General features: G+C 42.8%; 1 long non-coding RNA gene across 2 annotated transcripts in view; it reads left to right on the top strand.

Moving 5' to 3' along the window:
- Positions 1-4041: 4041 nt before the first annotated feature.
- Positions 4042-10034, top strand: part of LOC105373175 (uncharacterized) — a 111327-nt gene continuing 105334 nt past the window's right edge. The window contains exons 1-2 of one of the 2 annotated variants that reach the window (XR_007068217.1): positions 4042-4105; positions 4365-4465. This is a non-coding gene — a long non-coding RNA (uncharacterized LOC105373175). Of the gene's footprint in view, positions 4106-4295; positions 4466-10034 lie in introns of both variants that reach the window. The other variant, XR_007068216.1, reaches the window with a different exon arrangement.

The following is a 10034-nucleotide window of genomic DNA, read 5'->3' as shown; positions in this document are numbered from 1 at the left end:
ATTCCAGCATGAACTCAAAAGTCCAAAGTCTCATCTGAGACAAGGCTAGAGTGCCCTACATCCATGAGCCTATAAAATAAAAAAAAAAATTAGTTACTTCCAAGATACAATGGGGGTATAGGCATTGGATAAATACCCCCATTCCAACAGGGAGAAATTGGCCAAAAGAAAATGGCTATAGGCTCCATGCAAGTTCTAAACCCAGCAGGGCAGTCATTAAATCTTAAAGCTCTAAAATAATTTCCTTTGACTCAGTGTCCCATATCCAGGGTACATTGATGCAAGAGGTGGGCTCCTAATGCCTTGGGCAACTCTGCCCTTGCAGCTTTTCAGGGTTCAGCCCCCATGGCCTCACTCATGGGCTGGTGGTGAGTGCCTGTAGCTTTTCCAGGCATAGTGTTCTGCAAGCTGCTGGTGGATCTACCATTCCAGGGTCTGGAGGATCATGACCTTTTTCTCACAGCTCCACTAGACAGTGCCCCAGTTGGGATTGTTTGTGTGGAATTCAGCACCACATTTCCCCTTCACACTGCCCTAGTAAAGGTTCTCAATGAGGGCCCTGCCCCTGCAACAGGCTTCTGCCTGGACATCCAGGCTTTTCCATACATCCTCTGAAATTGAGGCGGAGGCTCCCCAGCCTCAACTCTTACACTCTGTGCATCTGCAGGTTTAATACTACTTGGAAGCTGCCTAGGCTTATGGTCTGTCTAAAGCAGTGGCCCAAGCTTTACCTTGGCCCTTTTGAGCCATGAGTGGAACTGGAGCAGTCCAGATGCAGGGAGCAGTGTCTCAAGGCTGTGCAGGGCAGCAGGGCCCACAAAACCATTCAGTCCTCCTAGGCCTCCAGGCCTGTAATGGGAGGGGCTGCCAAGAAAGTCACCAAAAAGCTTTTGAGGCCTTCTCCCCATTGTTTTGGGTCTTAACACTTGGCTCCTTTTTTACTTATGCAAATTTCTGCAGCCTGCTTGAATTCCTCCCCTGAAAATGGGCTTTTCTCTTCTACCACATGGGCAGGCTGCATACTCTCCAAACTTTTATGCTCTGCTTCCCCTTTAAATATAAGTTCCAACTTTAGGTTATTTCTTTGGTCACACACATGAGCATAGGTTGTTAGAAGAAGCCAAATTTTGAATGCTTTACTGCTTAGAAATTTCTTCTGCCAGATACCCTAAATCATTTTGGCACTAGGGACCAGTTTCATGGAAAACAATTTTTCCATGGACAGGGTGGAGGGGGTTGGTTTCAGGAGGAAACTGTTCCATCTCAGATCATCAGGCATTAGTTAGAGTCTCATAAGGAGCATGCCATCTAGATCCCTTGCATGCACAGTCCACAAAAGGGTTCATGCTCCTGTGAGAATCTAATGCTGCCACTGATCTGGCAGGAGGCAGAGTTCAGGTGGTAATGCTCACTCGCCTGCTGCTCACCTCTTGCTGTGCAGCCCAGTTCCTAACAGGTTATGGACTGGCACCAGTTGGTAGCCTGGAGGTTGAGGACCCCTGCTCTAAATAATCATTCTCAAGTTCAAAGTTCCACAGATCCCTAGAGCAGGGTCACAATGCAGCCAATTTCTTTGCTAAGGCATAACAAAAGGGACTTTTGCTCCAGTTCCCAAGAAGTTCCTCATTTCTGTCTGAGACCTCCTCATCCTGGCCTTCACTGTCTATATCACTATCAGCATTTTGCTCACAACCATTTAACTGGTTTCTAGGAAGTTCCAAACATTCCTTCATCTTCCTGTCTTTTTCTGAGCCTTCCAAAGTCTTCCAACCTCTGCCTGTTTTCCAGTTCCAAAGTCACTTCCACACTTTTAGATATCTTTATACAGGTATCTTTTATACCTAAACATGTGGAAGTGGTATCAATTTTCTGTATTATTCATTCTCGCATTGCTATAAATAAATACCTGAGACTGGGTAATATATTTTTTTAAAAAGAGGTGTAATTGGTTTATAGTTCTGCAGGCTACAGAAGAAGCATAGTGGCTTCTGCTGCTAGGGAGGCCTCAGGAAGCTTCCAATCATGGCAGAAGGCAAAGGGGGTGTGAGATATCTCACATGGCAGGAACAGGAGCAAGAGAGACATGGGGGAAGTGCTACATACTTTTAAATGGCCAGATCTCATGAGAATTCACTCACTGTTAGAAGGACAGTACCAAGGAAGATGGTGCTAAACCATGCATGAGAAACCCACTGCCATGATCAAATTACCTCTCACCAGGCCCTACCTCCAATATTGGGATTACAATTTGACATGAGATTTGAACAGGGACACAGATCCAAACTATATCATCCACCCTCCTCTGAACCCCAGAAAGGCTGGCTTTTGTGGGGTACATCAACTGGGAAGCCCCACCATCTGGCTTATGGTTGGATTTTACCAAGGAGAGTTTCTGGCAGAAGCTAAGAGGGTGGGCAAGCAGACAAGTGGGAGTATTTGTTCCCCTGGCTCCTCCACCCTCCCTACCAGGTTGAGGTTGATTCTGGCTGCTTTCCTCTACCTAAGGCCCCAGCTCCTGTTGAGTGGCCCTCTCTTATAGCCATGGGACTCTCTGATGTCTGGGAACTCTTCCACTCCTTTTGAGAGTGCCATCTGTTTCCTGCCCAGAGCCTGGCTGGCAAAACTCCTAATCATGATCCTTGGGCTCAAATTTCACCTGTCACCATCCAACCCACCCTCAAAGCTGCTTTCTGAGAGAGCTTGCTAAAGCTCAGAACATGTCACTATTTAAACACTGATGGGCCCTCATTGCCTCATGGGGGCTGAAATGTAAACGCCTTCTTCAGGTAGATTCAAGTTCCTGCACAATCTGGCCCCTGTTTACATTCTGGCCAACCTCCTACTGCTCCCTATAATGAAGCCAATGCTTTGGCAAGGCCAGGAAGCCTGCACTTCACACTGCACGTGCCTTGCACACTCAGGGCTCACTGCCTGTGCACCCTAAAGCTCATTGCTCCTCCTTCTGTGCCTGAAGAATGTGCATCCTTCAAGGATTGGCCGGCCCAACTATTGTGTCTTCTAGAAGATATCACTGATCTTTCACTTCTCCCAGCCCAGGGTGAATTACATGCCCCCATGCAGGTTGTATTGATCACCAAGCCAAGACTTATCCCAGCATCTGGTGGTTAGATTGCTTGTTTGTCTTTACCATAAGCTAATGAGTTCTTTGAGGGCAGAGGTAACGTGTCTAATTCATCTCTCCATCTGTAGCAGACCCTGTTGGTGTCTAATCCTCAGCCTGTATCACCTTGGCCGACCCAAGTTACCTGCAGCCACAGTGTATGGTTCAAAGTACACTGATAACTTCCAACCTCAAGAGCCTGCCTTTTTTTGCTTCTGTGTCTCAGGGTTTCCCCAGAACCTTGGGAGCATGATCTGCTGCAGTAGGCATAACCCTGTAATGTAAGGAAATTAATACCTCTGGGGCCAAAGAAGTTAACACCCTAGGGATGGGAGTTGGTGGATTGATGCCCCAGGCTTTCGGTCCTCTTTTAAGAGTATTCCCAGGATGTTCCACATGGTGCCTCAGAGAGTCCTCAGGGAGATGGCGCCTAAGTTGCCCAGTGGTAACCTGCTTATTAACGTCAATAGCTTTTCTTCCTTCCCTGCCACACTTTTCTCATTCCCTTGATTGTGCCTCCTAGGTATTCTCTTGAATAAACAATCTGTATCTTAGACCTTGTCTCAGGCTTACTTTTGGGGGAACCCAAACTAGGACAGCATCATCAACACCCACACAGTGCCTGGCACATAGTAGCAGACTAATAAATCAAACAAGAATACATGATTAAGAACACAAAATCTGCTGACCCAATTTGGCTATATGAAGACCTCTCTGGCATTCAGAAACTGTGCTGTTTTGAGCAGTCAGGGATCCTCTTAGCCAGGAAGATGCCACCCACATTTTAGGGGGCAGCCTGAGCCTTTTCCCAAGCAAGATGCCTCCTGGGGAGACTAGTGCAGACAGGCAGTTCTGATTATGTATGCAAATACAGGTCTGGCCCTGAAGCTTATTTGAGAGCCACACAGCTCAGCTAAGCCACCCTGGAGAAAGAATCTTACAAAGAATACTAAAGAGCATCCAAGTGTGAAGAATGAAACACACGTGAGTTTTCTTTTTTAAAAAATGGAAATCAAATTGTACTTTCATCTTGGCTTTCTTACAAGTCGGCAGTCCCCAAATAAGCCCTAAAAAGGCAGAAAAAAATATTTTATCCAGCTTTCTGACCTGGATTTAGACAAGCCATTAACCTTATTAGAGCGAACCTCATGAAATATTATGTGTCTATTCCCAGAGATGAGCCCCAAGAGGATGAGGAAGGGAGAGGCTGGTGGGGGTCTGATTCTCATCTCCACCTTAACAGAATGCACATGAAGTCCAGCCATGGTGTAGCCAAGGAGACCCACTAAGACCACCAAAAGCTTGGAAATGAGGATGCAGGGGCAAAGGACGGCATTATAGGCGGTAAGAATAGCATGCACAAAGTCATGCTACTGTGTGGGGTGTTGGGGATGGAGGGAAAAGAAATAAGAATGAGAAAGTAAGCATGGGCTTTATCACAAAAGGCCCTGTGCATCTTTCCTGGGAAATTCCATGAGGGATCCCTGAAGCGGGTCCAGGAAGCCAGTTTTGAGACTATTGCAATAATCCACATGGGTGCTGAAACCAAAGAGGTTGCATATGAATGCAATAAGCAGAGATGGATTTAAGGGGTTTGAAGGAGGTAGAATGAAAAGGACTGGGTTGGGACAGTGTTAACCAGATGGAAAATGTGGTCCTTTAGTGAGTCAGTGTATCCAAGAGAGAAAAATGAAAGAGGCTATTTTGATGGTGGTAGTGATAGTGTGGGCTGGTGAGCTCATTTTGGATCTAATAGATTTGAAGCACAGGTGAGAACCTCCAGATGGATGTGTCCTGTGAGCAGTTCAAGGGATAGTCTCAGAGGAGACATGAATTTTGCAATTATCAGCATGTAGATGGTAATTGAAGCCATGCGAGCAGATGAGTTTATCCAGGGAAAGTGAGCAGAAGGAGGAACAAAGAAGGTTGAAGACAAAATCCAGGAAAGATAAACATTAAAGGAGTGGAGCCAGAAAAGGAGATTGAGGAATAGTTGAAGAGTTCAGAGAACAGGAGATGGTTTAAGGGAAGTCAAGGGAGTAGGGAGATTCTGTAAATTGGCAAACAGTGTCAAATGCTACATAGACGCCTAGAAAAGTGAAGACTGAAAACTATTCTCTGTATCCTATTATTGTCTCAGTGAGTTCTTGACTTGGTGCTTGGCATTCCATATGTACCTCTCAATTGTTGGGGGAGGAGGGTTTATTGACCAGTTTATGGGCTACCCAGGCCCTTTGTCTGCTTTCTTTTGAGTCATTTCACAGTTTATCAGCCCTTCAACCAAAGGCTGGACAAGGGAAATAAACTTTCCCCAGTCAATTTTATGACATAATCTATCAGTTCTTTGGAAAGACTTAGCTGAGGAATAATGTGAAATGATTAGTTGGTTTCCATTTGTTGTTGTTGGATTGTCTATGAATTTCATTGTTCAAGGAAGGGCTGGTGGTCTTCTTTGGAGTCAGCCATCCTCTTTCACTACATACACAAAATAAATATCACATGGATTAAAGAGAGACATATAATTTTTAAAATATCTAGTAGAAAAACCAGAAGGAAATAGAAGTGTACATTTAGCAAACCTCTGGGGGAAGAAGAACTTTCTATGTGTTGAAATGACAGAAGACACCAGAAAGGAAAGAGACTAACCAGTTTAACTTTATAGTTATTCTTAGTTAAAAATATTTGTTTATATATATAACATACATGCACACAACATTTATAAAATACTGCAGCAAATTTATTTTTATATAGAAATCAGAAAATGGAGAGAAAACAAAAGCATTCAGTTGTTAATATTTCAATGGGCAAAGAACAAGAGTAGATAATTTGCCAAAGAGAAAATACAACTAGTTCACAAACATTTAGAAGAATGTCGTGCCTCACTAGTAAGAAAATAATTGCAAATTAAAATAATGAGGTGCCATTTTTTCCTATAAAATTGCCTAAAATCTTACCTAGTGCTGCTGAGGGTGTGGCAAAATTATTGCTGACAATGATGTCAATTAATAAAACTATGTTGGGAAGGCATTTGGTAAACACAAATTAAGATCCATAAAAATGTTCATATGGCTAGACTTAGCAATTCCACTTCTATCCAAAGGAATCTAGTCTAAAGACAAGATCATAAATCTGAAAAACACTGTATGCAGGGGAATACTATAACAGCAGCAACACAAATACCAAATCTAAACTTTCAGCTACAAGGGACTGATAGAATAAATTGTGGTGCATTTACCAGATGAAACATTATGAATATATTTAAAATGATGGCTAGGATGATTGGATAGTACCATGGGCGAAGAAACGTTGTATAATGTTGACTGGGAAGGGGAAGAAAATTTGCTTAAAGCAGTATGTGATAATTACATAGATTCATACTCACAAACACACACAAATTAAAACATGAAAAGAGGCAAGGTGAAAATACACCCAAACACTATGTCACAATGCTGCTTTTGAGTGAATTTTTTTTTTCTTTTCCATATTTTCCATATAGTGAAGTGACTAAACCTGGATTCAGGGGATCAAATACTCTTGGATTCAAATCCAGTTTTATCATTTGCTGTGTTATATTGGGTAAATTATTTAATTGAAGCTTTAAGTTTCTTTTTCTGTAAATGGAGAATTATAACATCTGCCTCATAGGAGTGTTACGAGGATTAAATGGGAAAATGTAGGAAAAGTGCTTGTCATTGTGACCAGAACATAGTAAGCTATCAATAAATAAGAAGTTTTATTATTGTAGTTATTATTACTTAGATAATGCAAAGAATCCTACAGTTTTAGAAACTTGCTGAACCCCATGGACTAGGAAGTATGCCCTAAATCTAAATAATACTGTCTTTTATTTCATGCCCTCCCTCTGTCACAGTCAACCACCAAGATAGAGTTTCAGAGTTAATTTTAGGAGGGAAATGTTTTCTTTGCTTAACGAATGTGAACTTCTTCATTTTTCTGGTTTGTTTTTCTTTCAAGTTGTTTTTACATCAACACCACCCGGGCAGGATGCGCCAGGTGACAAGACTGTGGGAAATTTCACATAAAAATAACTTTCGCATTTCACACACTGAGATGCCAGGCCTCAGGGCACTAACAGGCTGGGTCACTCAACATGCCCAACATTTCTTATTATCTCAAGTCTGGGTGACTCCTTTTTTGTTCTCCACACTCTCAAGCCTTTCTTTCTCTTTTGGTGAGCATTAGCAACCGCCAGGGATTTTGTGGGATGTCCTAGCAAGAAACCTTAGCAACACAGGGATCAGAGGACCTGAGTAAGACTGTATGTGAGTATGTGGGTGTGTGTGTGTGTTGGGTGAGCTTCATGAGAAAGGCCAGTGCTATGATTTGAATGTCCCCTCCAAACTCATGTTGAAATGTAATTGCTATTATAACAGTGTTGAGAGGTGGGCCCTTTAAGAGGTTATTAGGTCATGAGAGCTTTGCTCTCATGAATGGATTAATCCCATTATTGCAGGAGTGGGCTAGGCATTGTGGGAGTTTGGCTCCCTTTTTCTTCCTGTCTCATATGCTCATTTTCCCTTTTGCCATGGAATGATGAAGCATGACGGCTTTCACCAGATGACTGTGCCATGTTCTTAGACTTCCCAGCCTCTAGAAACATGAGCCAAATAAAGTTATATTCTTTATTCTAAAGTTCTAAATTACCCAGCCTGTAGTATGCTGTTATAGCAGCAGAAAGGAAGACAACCAGGTAGGAAGTAGGTAAAGGCAGAATCCTAGTGGGTAGAAAAGGGCCAAAGCAAATAATGTGTGTACACTTCTTTTCTGGCCATGTTCTGTGTACATGTGAAAGCTGCCAGCTCAGAAATTTTCTTCCTTAACCACCATTTCCTATCCTCTCACTCTCTCATTTCTTTGATCTAACCCTCCTGTGTCCACCAGGCCCCCAGGCTCTCCTCTTCTCCCATTCCTCAGTAAACACTCTCTCCTCTCTTTCCCAGACTGGCTTGGACATCCCCCACTGCCAGTCGTTAGCATCATGACCTTATCAGCATCCTCAGTATCCTTCCACCTTGGTCTTTCTACCAGAGTACCAAACCTTTGTTTTTCCCCTCCAATACCAGTCACCCTGTTGGAAAGAATCTTACAACTGTGTCTCAGAAGGAGATTGTAAACTGATCTTTTTCCACTTCAGCAGAACTACTGACAAAGGGTGGTCATCTTTTACCCAGCCTAGGGAATCCCCACCCAGCCCCACTGTCCCCACTCACCATTTCCCATTAAGGTGGCTGCTCCTAACTTTTTCTTCTCTCCTCAAGCTCACAACCCAGTTACAGCTCCCTCAGTCTTGTTACGTGCCCTAATTTCCTAATTGGAAGACAAATCAAAGGCAAGTTGAGGCATAAATTCTCCAGATTCCATCTCCCCTGCCTTCAAACTTTACTTTTTTCTGTTTTTCATTCTTTTCTGAAGAAAAGCATCCCCTTTCCTTGCCAAGAATAACTCCTTTTCCTTGTTCAGAATGACACCTCCCTTGTCCTGATTCTTAGCTATGTGTAGCTAACATGCTATGAGCAATTCACTCTGTTCCAGCCACACTTTCAATATTTTATCTTCTACTGAGAACAACTCTAAAAGGTTTGCTCTATTATTTTCTTCATTTTAAAGGTGGGAAAACTGAGGTGCAAAGAGGAGAAGCAACTTACTCAAGGCTACCCAGTAGTGATTAGGAGAGTGAGGACTTGAACACAGACCATCTGGCTCCAGGGCCCATTTTCTTGGCAACTGCATGATGCTATCCCTCTTAGTTTTCTCAGGAAATTTGTTCCACCAATTATTTCTTTAATCTCTGCAATCTAGTCCTCTCTACACATTCAATTTATCTCTTTTCCTAAAATAAACGCTTGCTTCCTACACTTCCTCTTCAAGGTGCCCTGTGCCCTTAAAATACCAAATTACCTATGAAAATATACAACATGCTCTCTCTAGCTCCTTATTGCTATTTTACCCCATGCTCGTCTCAACCTAACTTTTTGTCCCACCACACCCCTGAAAACTGAAAGCCTTATTGAGACTATATTTTCCAAGATGGCCATAAAACGCTTTCCCATACCATGTGATCACCTTATAATGTGACATTGCCAGTCCTTTCTTCAAGACACGGGGTTTATGTTCCCCCCAACCCTGAATCTGAGCATGTCTATGACTGTAGTGGAATGACAGTGTGTGATTTCTTCAGCTTTCACCTGTTGAGGTACTCACTCTTAGAATCTAGCCACCATGCTGTAAGGAAGCCTGCCCAGCAGCCACACAGAGTGGCCACATGTTGGTGCTCTGGCTGATAGCTCAGCTAAGGTTCCAGCCAGCAGCCCGTATCTACTATCAGACATGTGTGTGAAGATGCTTCCAGATCATTCCAGCCCCCAGACTTTGAGTCTCCTTAGTGAGGCCCTGACATCGTGGGGTAAAGACAAGCTATCTCTGCTGTGCCCTGTTTGAAACTGAGAGATAATAAAATGATTGCTATTGTTTTAAGGGACTAAGCTTTGGGATAATATATCATGCAGCAATAGAAACTGGAGCAGACTCCAACAATTACCAAGACTAATAGTATCTTTATAATACTCATCCCACCAGGCTTATCTTCAGTATTTAACTTGGGCCATTTCTTTCTCCTCAAATTCCTCTCCTCAATGACTAGAAGACACTAAAAAGACACAACTAAATGTAGAACATGATATCATGGATTGGATCCTGGAACATAAAAAAATGACACTAGTGGAAAAACTGGTGAACATGCATGAAATCAGTAGTTTAGTTAATAGTATTGTGCTTATGTTAATTTTCTGATTTTGATATGTGTACTACAGTTAGGCAAGTCATTAAAATTATGGAAAACAGAGTGAAGGGTATATGAGAATGCTGCACTATTTTCACAACTTTTCAGTAAGTC

This window comes from Homo sapiens, chromosome X (genome assembly GCF_000001405.40).
Source record: "Homo sapiens chromosome X, GRCh38.p14 Primary Assembly".
NCBI lineage: Eukaryota > Metazoa > Chordata > Mammalia > Primates > Hominidae > Homo > Homo sapiens.
Note: the sequence above shows the minus strand (reverse complement) of the source record. Positions and strands in the feature narration are given on the sequence as shown.